Source organism: Homo sapiens, chromosome 12, assembly GCF_000001405.40.
Source record: "Homo sapiens chromosome 12, GRCh38.p14 Primary Assembly".
Taxonomy (NCBI): domain Eukaryota; kingdom Metazoa; phylum Chordata; class Mammalia; order Primates; family Hominidae; genus Homo; species Homo sapiens.
The window spans coordinates 120,777,990-120,792,047 of record NC_000012.12 but is presented as its reverse complement, the minus strand read 5'-3'; the positions used below and the strand labels follow the sequence as shown (position 1 = coordinate 120,792,047).

General features: G+C 39.7%; 1 protein-coding gene across 2 annotated transcripts in view, besides 1 other annotated feature; it reads left to right on the top strand.

The window, feature by feature from the left end:
• Positions 1–14,058, top strand: part of SPPL3 (signal peptide peptidase like 3) — a 141,849-nt gene that overhangs the window by 112,311 nt on the left and 15,480 nt on the right. For both annotated transcript variants that reach the window (NM_139015.5, XM_011537925.3), the window contains exons 3-6: positions 491–579; positions 7,455–7,574; positions 8,296–8,374; positions 9,281–9,393. In NM_139015.5, coding sequence (NP_620584.2) covers positions 491–579; positions 7,455–7,574; positions 8,296–8,374; positions 9,281–9,393 — 401 coding nt within the window. The remainder of the gene's footprint in view (positions 1–490; positions 580–7,454; positions 7,575–8,295; positions 8,375–9,280; positions 9,394–14,058) is intronic.
• Positions 7,807–9,006: an enhancer, noted in NCBI's record as "MED14-independent group 3 enhancer chr12:121220845-121222044 (GRCh37/hg19 assembly coordinates)". NCBI's record gives its function as "activates an origin of replication core promoter dependent on BRD2, BRD4, P300/CBP and CDK7 cofactors, and independent of MED14, by STARR-seq in HCT116 cells {active_cell/tissue: HCT116}" and the evidence as "EXISTENCE:reporter gene assay evidence [ECO:0000049][PMID:35650434]".

Below are 14,058 nucleotides of genomic sequence, written 5' to 3'. Positions count from 1 at the left end.
TATTGTCCCTGTAGTACCTAGAACAGTTCCAGATATAGAAGACACTCAAATTTTTTTTGTTGTTGAATCACAGCTGACAGGGTATAGGGAAATGAGTGCTCTCATACACTGCTGAGAGAGTGAACTGATGCAGCCTTTTTGCGAACAGTTGTGTGGTATGTAAAAGTCTCAAAATGTGCTTGCCCTTTGACATTTCTCCTTCTAGGCTTTTATCATAAGGAAGTAATTAAGGATATGATATGCTCAGAGATAGGAGTGGAAGATTCAGCTGCATTGGGATGCTTTCATCTGCAGTCAGGAAAACTCTTGAACTGACACATTGGAAGGACTGAAGATTGTTTTTTAAAATGTTACAAGAGCTATTTTTCAGAGTTGTTCAAAAGAGACCTTCTTTCCTAATTCCTTGGCATTTAAAAATATTGTCATATGACTTTTCTGACCTTCTTTTGTAAGCAAAACTACAACTTAACTACAAAATTTTTTTCCACAGGTCCCTTAATATGGACTTTGAAAATCAAGATAAGGAGAAAGACAGTAATAGTTCTTCTGGGTCTTTCAATGGCAACAGCACCAATAATAGTAAGATATTTTATGTCAATTAACTTCTGTACATATAGTTTTCTTAATTTGGCTGTTTCTATACCTCCAGTTAATAATTTACTGGGTTCAAGGATTTATGATTGGTATAAAAAAACATTGAATTATACTTAAAATGAGTGAATTTTACGGTATGTAATTGTACCTCAATAACGTTAATAAAAATGTTTGATGCTTATAGAAAGATTTGAATTTGAAGTGACTTGATTTGATAATATTAATACATTTATATTGAGATCTGCCATGTACTCAACATTCTGTTAGATCTTTTGAAAGATGCAAAAGTACAAGAGAAATTTTTGCCAAGATGTTCTTTAAAAAGTGCCAAGATATCCAGGCGCAGTGTCTCCCACCTGTAATTCCAGCACTTTGGGAGGCCAAGGTAGGCAGATCACTTGAGGTTGGGAGTTCAAGATCAGCTTGACCAACATGGAGAAACCCTATCTACTAAAAATACAAAATCAGCCAGGTGTGGTGGCGCATGCCTCTAATTCCAGCTACTACTGAGGCTGAGGCAGGAGAATCGCTTGAACCCAGGAGGCAGAGGCTGCAGTGAGCCGAGATCGTGCCATTGCACTCCAGCCTGGGCAACAAGAGCGAAACTCCGTCTCAAAAAAAAAAAAAGTGCCAAGATAGAGAGGGCAAATACCTCTTCACCTCCTATATATGGGGCAAGTACCTTTTTTCGGTGACCCTCACCATAGCCTCAGAATCCCTCTGAACATAGAGCTATTATCAGAGGAAGCTCTACAGATGAAATCATTTTGATATCCATGTAGAAAGAGCATAAAGAGACCCGCAAGTCAGGTGAGCAGCAATGGGTCAGATAAGGTTTCTTTACAAGAGAAGGTGGGTTTGACTTAGTGAATGTGGATTGGTGGAGAAGTCGTCATTTCAGGTTAGGGGAACATATAATAACAGGCACAGAGATCACGACCTATAGAACAGGGTAAGGTCGCCACCTAAGAGAGAGGAAATGCTAGAGATCTAATTAAAAGGTAGATCAAATATTGATTGGAGGACCATGGATGTTAAATTGAAAAGAGATCACTTATTGTGTATCTTAGTTTCTCCAGTTATTATAGCACGCTGTCAACCTAGTTGTATTTGCCCAGTTTTCACCGGGCACAGACCCAGTCACATGGGTTTCATTGTCCCTGGCAGTGCCAAAGTGGGCATGATAAAGACGGTAAGTCGACTCATTTAAATATAATGAGTCTTTTCTTAAATTTATGACATGGATCCTTGTATGATATAAAATTCCATACCAGTAGTTATTACTAGTGCAAGGAACCACATAAAACCTGGTGCAAAATCTGATTTTTAGATTAAATTATTACATAGCAGCTTATCTTCTGTCAACATTTTAAGCCAAATCAGTTTATACTCCTGAAACTCTTTTTAAAAGTCCTGTATTATGTAGCACATATGCAAGTGATGTTCTTAAACCAAATTATAAATCTGCTGTACATTGCATCACAGAAACCTAAAGAAATCTACCTATATTATTATGTCTAAGTTTACCTCAAAAACAAACAAAAACAAGAAATGGTTGTGCCAGTCCGTACAGTGGAAAGAAGTTACCTGGTAATACAGCTCTTTTTTTTTTTTTTTTTTTTTTTTTTTGAGACGGAGTCTTGCTCTGTCATTCAGGCTGGAGTGCAATGACGTGATCTCAGCTCACTGCAACCTCTGTCACCTGGGTTCAGGCAATTCTCCAGCCTCAGCCCCTGGGGTAGCTGGGATTACAGGCGCTCGCCACCATGCCTGGCTAATTTTTGTATTTTTAGTAGAGATGGGGTTTCACAGTGTTGGCCAGGCTGGTCTCAAACTCCTGATCTCAAGTGATCCATCCACTTCGGCCTTCCAAAGTGCTGGGATTATAGGCATGAGCCACTGCACCCAGCCAACATAAGCTTTTTTATTTTTTGTTCATGAAGCACAGTCTAAAGAGTGGTAGAATACTTCTTTTTTAAATGCTTTTTTTCTTTTTTTTTTTGAGACAGAGTCTCACTGTCACCCAGGCTGGAGTGCAGAGGTGCAGTCTCTGCTGACTGCATCCTCCGCCTCCCGGGTTCAAGTGATTCTCCTGCCTCTGCCTCCCGAGTAGCTGGGATTACAGGCACCCACCACCACACCTGGCTAATTTTTGTATTTTTAGTAGAGATGGGGTTTCACCATGTTGCCCTGGCTGGTCTTGAACTCCTGACCTCAAGTGATCCTCCAGTGTTGGCCTCCCAAAGTGCTGGGATTATAGGCATGAGCCACTGCACCCAACCTAAATGGTCTTTCTTAACTCTGCCAGCTATGTTGTACTAAATTATCCTTGACAACATTTCTTCAGTGCCTGCTCTGAGCAGTGGATGCCAATAGGATAAGGACAGATTAGCATAGACTGCAAAATTCACTTCCTCAAAGAAGAACATAATGAAGAAGCCATTACAAAGACGGCCGACCAGTACTTGATTATGGAATATAAAATTATTACAGATTGAAAGGATGACATGGAAAACAGGATGAATTTATCAAGAATCAAAGAAATAATAGCCAGAAAGATGAACAGAGAAACAGAGAGGTGTAGGTGCTAAGGAGATGGAAGTCCTGGATGATTAACAATGTGGAACAACTGGGGAGAAGGTTTTGAGAAAAAGAAAGTATAAATTTAGTGTTAAGATTTTGTCAGGAGTGTTTCAGACTGATTGAAGGAGACAGTAATCAGAAGTTTTTAAAAGATTGTAGCTGCCCACTCCCAAAATAATAAGAAACAAGGAATTTGTAAAGAGATAGGAGAGCAGGAGAAGTTGTAGGTGTAGCCAGCATCATTGGTGGGGTACGTGGGTGAAGGGTTACTCTTACGATTACATGCTTTGAATATGTCAGAAATGATTTGACTGTCCTTGATTATAATAGGAGCTAGGAGAAGGAGAAGCATTAAGTGAGACTCAACAGAGGGTTAGATGGGCCATGTGACTCATGCCCCAAAAAATCAGAACTTAAAAATGGAGAAATCAGTTTGTAATTGAAAGTTTCTCGCTGCAGGGTGCCCTAGGGTATTTGACCAAAAGACTGGGTAATTATTACTTCAGATTATAATAATGTTCCACCTATCTGGGCAACTCGAAACACATGGAAGTAAGAGGAAGAGTTGATCAGGCCTGCCAGGAACTATGGCACTCAACTCATTAGAAAGCAGAAAAGTAAAAGTGAAGACAGTAATGAAAAAGCACTACATGCCCACCACCAGAATAGCTAAAATTAAAAACCTTGACCATTCCCAGTGCTGATGAGGATGCACAGCAACAGCAAAGAGCCCTCTTGCGTTACTGGAGAGCATGCGTTAGCACAGTCACTTTGGAAGGCAGTTTGACATTTTACCTACTAAAGGTGACAGTATAAATACCCTTGGACCCAGCAGTGTCACTCCTAGTTATATATCCAGCAAATACAGTCACATGTGCATCAAGTCATGTGCAAGAGTGCCTAGAGCAGCAGCATTTGTAATAACCAAAAAATTGGAAACAACCCAAATGTCAACCGTAGAATGGATAAATTTTACTGTATTCATACAGTGAAAACAAGTGAACTGCTGTAGCTACATAAAACAGCATGGATAATTCTCACAAATCATATTGAGTCAAAGAAGCCAGACACAAAAAAATAACTACATAACTCAATGCATATAAAATTTAGGAAACAGGCAAACTAGTATTTAAGGATGCGTGCTTGGGTGGAAAACGTGTCATAAAAGTCAGGATAGCGGTTCCCTTCAGGAGAATGAGAGAGAGAGAGAAAGTAGTGATTGAGAGGGACACAAAGGAAGATTTCTGGGGTTGGTTTGTTTCTTGACTTGAGTGGTATTAAATATGTAATAATTCATTTTTGTGCTTTTCTGGGTGTGATGCTTCACCATAAAAAAGGTTAGAAAGTGACAGGAGTGAGGGTGGAGGGCAAGAGTTCCCTCCAGGTCCTCTGATTTCCCCTGACCTTGTTCTAACTTCTCTGCCTGCCCCCAAGAAGCCAATATAGAAATTTATTTTCCCATGGCACATCAGTCCTTCATTTAAGTAGTATTAAGTGGAATTTTAAAAAGCCATGTACACCCCTGCCCAATTATCTGACATCTTAAAGACTTTTACTAAACTTCAGTTATAATTTATTTGAGTTATAAAGATTGATGGAGATGTATAGTTGGGATCCTCATCTTTAGTAGAGGTATACATCTTAATCTTCTTGCTTAGATTGTAAACTTCATGAGATCTGGAAATGACTTTCTTTTAATCCCTCCTGTTGCTTACTATATAATAAGTGTTCAGCAAATAGTCAAAAGCATCGTTCTTACAGGGAGGTGTAAAATCAGTAATTTTCTTAATAGTTATTGGTTTTATTGCTCAGTGTCTATTCCATACCAGACGTACATTTAGCCTGTAGCCATGTTCATTGAATGTTAAAAATGATGTTGCTGTACAAAATTTTTAATTCCATTACCAAGCCTATTTCCTATGTTGATTTTTGCCTTAAAGATAATGCAACTGCACTTGCATATGTCCTCCTAATTATGGCTAGTCTGTTTTGCTTTGCTCAGTTTTGCTTTGTTTTTAAGTTACTGGAGTTTGGCTAAAATTTCTAATTAATTACCTCTTTCTTTCCCATTCAAGACCTTTATCTCCAGAACTTTAGGAAATGGAGTACTGAAGTCATGGACATTGTTTTAGGTAGCATATTGTCAGGAACTAAAGGCGCTTTACTTGCCCTGTGACATCGCCTCCTGGTTCAAAAATCTGTGGTTTAAAAAAAAAAAAATCTGTGCATTCTATCTAATACGCCAGAAAGGTCCTTTGTATTCAGTTTCGCATGTAATTGCAGACTGAACTTTTAAAATTTAGCTTTATTATAAACAAATGCATCTCTTATATACCTCACCACTACAGTCTTTATTCTAGCTAGCCATTTAATTTTCTCTTCATACTTTGAATCAGTATAATCTGTCTATAGACTCCCTGATGCTTTGTTCCTATGATAAAGTTATTTATCTGAGAAACATTATTTTCTGTAGTGAAAGGCACTGAAAATCTGTAGCTTCCTCTAGCTGTTCTTTGAACTACTGTAGAGCACTTACATTTAAAAACTATTTAGGTAAAATTTAGTTAGAGATTTCATAGAGTTTTGTCTAATGGATACACTTCCCGAAGTGATCCTTGGGCCAAGCTGAATGGATTTGACTAGGGTCAGGACAGACTGCTTCCAAGATAATTTCTGTTTGTCATGACACATAGTTCACTTTTCCTAAATTGAATTGTCCTATTCCTAAGTGAATTACTTCACTCATCTGCCTAGTCCCTGAGAAGCATTTTGTTTTATAGATTTAGTCAATCAAAAACCCTAAATAACTCTTTTGGGGACAGGCAAATTTAAATACCTAAGAGAAATTTTGTTGATCATTGTAACCCTTTGTGTCTTGCTATGTTTATCCTGGTTACATATTTTATTTGTAGCCTTAATATAATGAAGAGACCTTTCCTTTTTTTTTTTTTTTTTTGCCTTGGACTCCTGGGCTCAAGTGATCCTCCCACTTCAGCCTCCCAAGTAGCTGGAACTACAGGCTCAAGATAACATGCCTAATTTTTTTTTTTTTTTTAATTTTCTGTAGAGATAGGGTCTCCTTAGTTTGCCCAGGCTGGTCTTGAACTCCTGGCCTCAAGTGATCCTCCTGCCTCAGCCTTTCAAAGTGCTGGGATTACAGGCATGAGCCACCACACCCAGCCTTTTTCTTCTATTATTTCATTATTATAGATCATATGAAGATTTCTTTGATTCCTTTTGTGCGCTTTTATGACATCTCAATAGAGTTAATTTGGAAGTGAGACAAGATAAAACTGGTAATTTTTTTTTTCATTCAGTGGTTATTAGAGTTTGCCATGTTTTCCTTCTCTACCAAAAATACTCTATTAATGGTTCTCAACCCTAGATGCAAAATACAGTTTTGTGAGGAGCTTTTAGCTGGGCCTAACTCCTGTGATTTCATTTAATTTGTCTGGGATTGGACCTGGGCTTTGTAATTTTTTTAAAGCTCTAATGGGAAGCCAAGAATTGAGAACCCTTGCGCTAAATCCTACTCTAGCCCAAGAGATTATTTTCCCGTATTCATCTCCTATTCTGGTACCTTAAAATGTTCCCATAAAATAAATTTTTTTTTTTGTAAATATTAATAGATAGAAACGGGGGTCTCGCTGTGTTGCCCAGGCTGGTCTTGAACTCCTGGTCCCAAGCCATCCTTCCACTTCAGCCTCCCAAAGTCCTGGGATTACAGGCGTGAGCTACCACATCTGGCCAAATAAAATTTTTCTGATTTGCTGTTTTCAGCTATGACTTGTTGTCCTCCTTCTCCCCCATCAGCCAAGTCAGTTCTCAACTATTAGCAACAACGAGAAAGAGTGAAAATGAGTACCTTAAACCCACAGGTGATGAGAAGTCCTTTTAGTCAATGGGTTTAAACCACCTCTTTTACCAAACCTATATTCAAGACCACAAATTTACCCAAATGGACTAATCTGGGTTTTTACTACCTCTTAATGTTCTCGGTGGTGGTTTGGATCCTGTCATCCAGATGGTTAACACCAGGAGGTAGTAGTTCACTTCAACAAATATTCCTGAGTGTCTGCTGTAATGAAAGGCACCATGAAGAGAACAAGGAGCTCATAATCTCGTTGGGAAAGAAAGACTCATAGGGCCTGGATAATCCATGTCCTACGTATAATCCGTAGAACTGTCTGCATTTTTGCAAGTTAATGTATATGAAGTGCATAGGCACAGTGCCTGGTGCATAATAAGTTATTAATCTGTCTGTTTTTCTCTTTCAGGCATCCAAACAATTGACTCTACCCAGGCTCTGTTCCTTCCAATTGGAGCATCTGTCTCTCTTTTAGTAATGTTCTTCTTCTTTGACTCAGTTCAAGTAGTTTTTACAATATGTACAGCAGGTAAATATGAGTTTCTCTGTCTAGTCTTAACATACTAAAAGGAAAATTTTTCACCTTTATCATTGTTCAAAAATTAAGATTTATATACCATGTCATGTAAGTTTTTCCTTATAAATCTTGGCTTCGCCTTCTCCGTCTCAACCACGCCACCCTTCCCCAACTCCTCCTTGAACCTCTTGATCCACGTCATCTGTTGAGACCTGCCCACACAATCTGAAAGAAAGGCTGGAGACGTCAAAGTGCAGGAATTCTATGACACCAGAGCAGTATTGCTGTGCTTTGGCTGTGGCGCTTTTTCTAGATTACCAGAAGGTTGAGCTTGGCATAGAGGCCATTGTCAGCCTCTACCCACGTTCTTGCAGGTAGAAACATGGATAGCTAATCAAAGTGATTGGACTGTCAGCTCTTTGATGTGTTTTCAAGCTAAGTATTGATGGAAATGTAAAAAAAAATCGGCAAAATGCTACAAGACTTGTTAGGAGGTCATCCCCTGGCCTGCTGTTTATCTTTTAGGAAACTTACCTATGCTTTCCCCTACTTCAAATCAGGTACTTTTTTTTAATAATGAAGAGATTTTTTGTGCAGTATTAAAGGAAGACATTTTTCTTCTCTAGTCAATTAACCGTATCCACTTGTCTAGTGTTTGGCGGAATGAAGTTTCTATAAGTCATGCCATTTTTCTTATAATTGTTTTAAAAAATTATACCTTTTCTTTCTCTAGTTCTTGCAACGATAGCTTTTGCTTTTCTTCTCCTCCCGATGTGCCAGTATTTAACAAGACCCTGCTCACCTCAGAACAAGTAAGGACTTGGGACTTTCCTCTTAAATTATAAACTTGTATATATTTTTCTGTCATATTTGATAGCATTATTAGGATTCTCAATTTCTGTTATTGGCTGGAGCACAGAAATGCCAAAAGACCAGGAAGTGACACATTTGATCTTTAAAGCCAGAAGCTAGTACTTCCTTTTGTACCTTCTCATGTCAGAGGAAATACAAACAAAACTTAGGAAGTCTGAGTCATTGTAATGTGCTTCCTACTTAGATCATTGAAAGATGAGCAGTTTTCTTTTGAAACGGTGCTTTCATTCCTTTACTGTGAGTTGATGAAATATGAGAATAGTGGTTGAACTCAAACGTTCTTCTTTGCCTTTGGTCTTCGGTGGCCTAGATATGCTACCTACTTGCGTTTAATCCTAGTGTTCACACCTTAACTCTGAAAGTCATTGCTGCACGGAAACAAAATTCTGTGCTAATGGAGATGCTGAACGCACTTAGGAAACCAGTCATTGGTGGCAGCTGATGCTCGCAGGAATTAGTGATAACCAAAAGATTTACAATCTTCTAAATAGAGTGATACCATCTTTGGTAAATGAGTTGAATTGTTGGCATTTCTTCATTTTGTTTTCCTCATAAGAATAGAATTTCCTCCATACTTATTAGCTTTTCCAGAGGTTAATATTATCACTTCAAACTTCTAAATGCCCATGTTGATAATTGGTCCCAAAAAGACATTATCAGTTGGTGCAGAAGTATATTCCTGTGAGCTTTCCATAGGTTTCTCCAAAAAAGGATTGGGTATTTTGGATTTCCAGCTATCTTGGTATTATCTGCTATTCTAATCCAGCCATCACGAAATACCAAAGGAGAATTTGGTTACTGAATAAAGTGTGCCCACTGTCCAATAAGTGTTGTGTGTTTTCCAGGATTTCCTTTGGTTGCTGTGGACGTTTCACTGCTGCTGAGTTGCTGTCATTCTCTCTGTCTGTCATGCTCGTCCTCATCTGGGTTCTCACTGGCCATTGGCTTCTCATGGATGGTGAGTGACTAATTTGTGACAAATTGTAATTTTACTTTATAGAGTTTTATAGATACTTTAGGATATTCACAGAGCTGTACAACCATCACTACAATAAACTTTTAGAGCATTTTCACACCCACCCCCGCCAAAACAAATGAGCGGTCATTCCCCTTACCCACCTCCCCAGCCCCAGGTATCCACTAGTCTCTACTTTCTGTTTCTATGGATTTCTCCATTCTGGACATTTTCCATAAATGGAATCATACATTATGTGGCCTTTTGTGTCTGACTTGTTTCACTTAGCATGTTTTCAAGGTTCATCTGTGTTGTAACCTGTATCAGCACTTCCTTTTTATGGCTGAATACTGTTCCATTGTATGGATACACTAATTTTATTTATTCGTTTACCGGTTGTTTCCACTTTTTAGGCTATTATGAATGATGCTTCTTTGAATATTAATGTACAAGTTTTTGTGCAGACTATGCTTTTTTATATAAATGGAAGCTTCGCACAATGGCTCATGCCTGTAATCCCAGCACATTGGGAGGCTGAGGCAGGAGGATCACTTGAGACCAAGAGTTCAAGACCAGTCTGGACAACATAGCAAGATCCCATTTCTACAAAAATAAAAATCATCTGGGCATGGTACACCTGCAGTCCCAGCTACTTGGGAGGCTGAGGCGGGAGGATCCCTTGAGCCCAGGAGTTCAAGATTACAGAGAGCTATGATCATGCTACTGCACTCCAGCCTCAGCAACAGAGTGAGACCCTGTCTCTTTAAAAAGTAACAATAAGGGCTGGGCATTGTGGTTCATGCCTGTAATGGGAGGCTGAGGCAGGCGGATCACAAGGTCAGGAGATCAAGACCATCCTGGCTAAAATGGCTAAAATGGTGAGACCCCGTCTCTACTAAAAATACAAAAAATTAGCTGGGAGTGGTGGTAGGCACCTGTAGTCCCAGCTACTCGGGAGGCTGAGGCAGGAGAACTCCGGAGGTGTGAACCCGGGAGGCGGAGCTTGCAGTGAGCCAAGATCGAGCCACTGCACTCCGGCCTGGGCAACAGAGCAAGACTCCGTCTCAAAAAAAAAAAAAAAAAAAAAAAAAAAAAAAAAAAACGTAACAATAAGGAGATGGGATTAGACTGTAATATAATGCATCATATTATGCTCTATATTATATATGTAGTATATGTAATATAACATGTTATATATAACCTGCATTATGTACGTGATATACATCATACACTTTAATGATATAAATACATGTCTATATCATTACATAAAAGTATATCATATCCTTTTTAATAACTCCAGAGTATTAAGGATGAATACCTAGACATGAAATTCCTAGAACAGAATTCTTGCATTAAAAAAATCTATACCTATTATTATATTGCCTTTCAGATAGGCTATAGTAGTTTATACTCCAACCTGTAGCATATGAGAATTTCTCTTCATTGATGATAAGGATGAAGTAATAATGACAATAATACCTAGGATGAATGGAGTGCTTTTTATTGATTAGGCAGTCTGCTAGGTGCTTTACATGGATCATCTCTTTTAATCCTCAGAACAACTCTTTGAAGTAGGTACTGCTGTTTGTTTCCATTTTCAAAAGAGTAAACAAAGGTTCAGAGAACTAGCTCATCCCAGCCACAGACCCCTTATATAGAATTCATACTTACCACCAAAGCATCTTGGAGGCTGTTTCTGAAAATCACCCATAATTTTCCTGGTTTTTCCCTTAAAACCTTTTTTTGGGGGAGGGAGTTTCGCTTTTGTTGCCCAGGCTGGAGTGCAATGGTGTGATCTTGGCTCGCTGCAGCCTTCGTCTCCCGGATTCCAACTATTCTGCCTCAGCCTCCCAAGTAGCTGGGATTGTGGGCACACGCCACCATGCCCAGCTAATTTTTGTTTTGTTTTTTTTTTTAATTTTTGTATTTTTTAGTAGAGACGGGGTTTCACCATGTTGGTCAGGCTAGTCTCGAACCCCTGACCTCAGGTGATCCACCCGCCTCAGCCTCCCAAAGTTCTGGGATTACAGGCGTGAGCCACCACGCCCAGCTTTTTTTTTTTTTTTTTTTAAATAGAGACAGGGTGTCTTCATGTTGCCCAGGCTGGTCTTGAACTCCTGGACCCAGGCGATCCTCCCGCCTCGGCCTCCCAAAGTGCACAGGCATGAGCCACTGTGCCTGGCCTCCCCCAGCTTTTTTTGTTTTGTTTGGAGACAGGGCCTTACTCTGTTGCTCAGGCTGGAGTGCAGTGGCATGATCAGTGCTTACCCAACTCTTGAACTCAAGCAGTCCTCCCACCTCTGCCTCTCAAGTACACAGACACAAGCCACCATACCCAGACAATTTTTTTTATTATTATTTTATAGAGATGGGTCTCACTATGTTACCCAGGCTGGTCTTGAACTCCTGGCCTCAAGCAGTCCTCCCAAAGTGCTGGGATGGGGCCAGTGCATTGGCTCCCAGCACTTTGAGAGGCCAGGATGGGAGGATTGCTTGAGGCGAGGAGTTCAAGACCAGCCTGGGCAACATAGTGAGACTGCATCTCTACAAAGCACTGGGATTACAAGCATGTACTGAGCCACGAGGCCCAGCCCCTTGAGATGTTTTTAAACTTTTCTTTTAAACCGTATCATTCTGTTTCCACTTCTTTTTTTTTTTTTGAGATGGAGTCTCACTCTGTTGCCCAGGCTGGAGTGCAGTGGCACGATCTCAGCTCACTGCAACCTCCGCCTCCTAGGTTCAAGTGATTCTCCTGCCTCAGCCTCCTGAGTAACTGGGATTACAGGTGCCCACCACCACACCTTGCTAATTTTTTTTTTTTTTTTTTTTTTTTTTTTGTATTTTTAGTAGAGACAAGGTTTCGCCACGTTGGCCAGGCTGGTCTTGAACTCCTGACCTCAGGTGATCCACCCGCCTCAGCCTCCCAAGGTGCTGGGATTACAGGCGTGAGCCCACCGCAGCTGGCCTTCACTTCCTTTATATGCAGTCCTTACATTTCCACAGTTCACTTTTGTAATCTCAAAAAATTTTTATCTAACTGCTCTGCCCCACAAAGTAAAATTCTTTAAAAGGGGTTGTGAACTATCACCTTTTCCTTTCTTTTGGTGGTTCCAAAGAGAAGAAGGTTAAAATATAAAGACAGTCAATTTTATACTACTTGTAATTCCAAAGAATTTTTAAGGGAAGAATTTGAAAATCTGGGGTACAGGTATGGATTGCATCTATTCCTGTTACCTACTCCAAATAACCACAAAGCTACTCCAGACTTTGGAGACAGAGTTCTTTGGAACCAGTGCCAGGTCTGGGAGGCTCCTCTGCACTCCACCAGGCAGTGTTTCCCTGCAGCTCTGGGGCTGGCTCAGAGGTGTTGGGGTTGATGTTCATCATTGTCTGAGCCCAGAGCCACCCAGAGTGATGCTTACTGTCACTGCCTCAAGTTTGGAGTAGCTAAGTTAGTCAAACAGTTTCTAAGTACTGATCTTATAGGCTATATATACTTTGTATGACTGATCTTAAGTTTGCTGCATAGTATTTGGTCCATTGTTTGGGGTTTTTATTTTTAATTTGTTTTAGAGAAAGGTTCTTGCTCTGTTGTCCAGGCTGCAATATGGTAACATGATCCTAACTCACTGTGACCTCAAGCTCCTGGGCTTAAGTAATTGTTTGGATTTTTTTTTAGAAGACATTTGCATCAAATATATGAATTAACTCAAAACCAAGGATGTTCTGGTCAATTTGGATAGAATTTGACAAAAATGATTGTATTTTTTTTCTGGATCCAGAATCAGAATCATCTTAATAAGAAAGAAATTTTAAACTTTAAGGAAAACAAAAAACTTGTCCTTCTGCATCTAGGAATTTTTTTTCTTCGTAAGTGACTTTGACCAGTACAATGATTTGAATGTCTGTGTGTCAAGTTAGTTAGTAAAATGTCATAAGAAACTGAGTATTCTGTGGAAATAAACTAGCAAGTGGATTGCAAATTGTAAAGCATACAAATATAAGTTATACTTACAATTTTAAAATACATTTGTTAAAAAGACAAGATTATAGTGATGGAGAACAGCTCAGTGGTTGGCAGGGTTTGTGTGGAGGAGTAGGGTGACTATAAAGAAAAAACAGGGGTTTTGGGGGTGATGTGACCATTCTCTATGCTGAGCATGGTGGTGACTCTGTAAATGCATGTGGGAACTTTCATAGAACTGCTACATCTAAAGAGAAACTGTCAATTTTACTGTTCAGGCCGGGCGCGGTGGCTCATGCTTGTAATCCCAGCACTTTGGGAGGCTGAGGCAGGCGCATCACCTGAGGTCAGGAGTTCGAGACCAGCCTGGCCAACATGGTGAAACCCCGTCTCTACTAAAAGTTCAAAAATTAGCCAGGTGTGGTGGTGTGCGCCTGTAATCCCAGCTACTCAGAATGGTGAGACAGGAGAATCGCTTCAACCCAGGAGGTGGAGGTTGCAGTGAGCCGAGATCACACCACTGCACTCCAGCCTGGGCAACAGAGTAAGACTCCATCTCAAAAAAAAAAAAAAAAAAAAAAATTGCTTTTCAGTCATTTTGGAAATAAAATGTTAAATATGTTTTTATTTTTTACAAATATGTAAATCTGTTTTCATAGTAGTTATTCAATGCTTTTTTTGAGTGTCTACCATATACCAAGCTA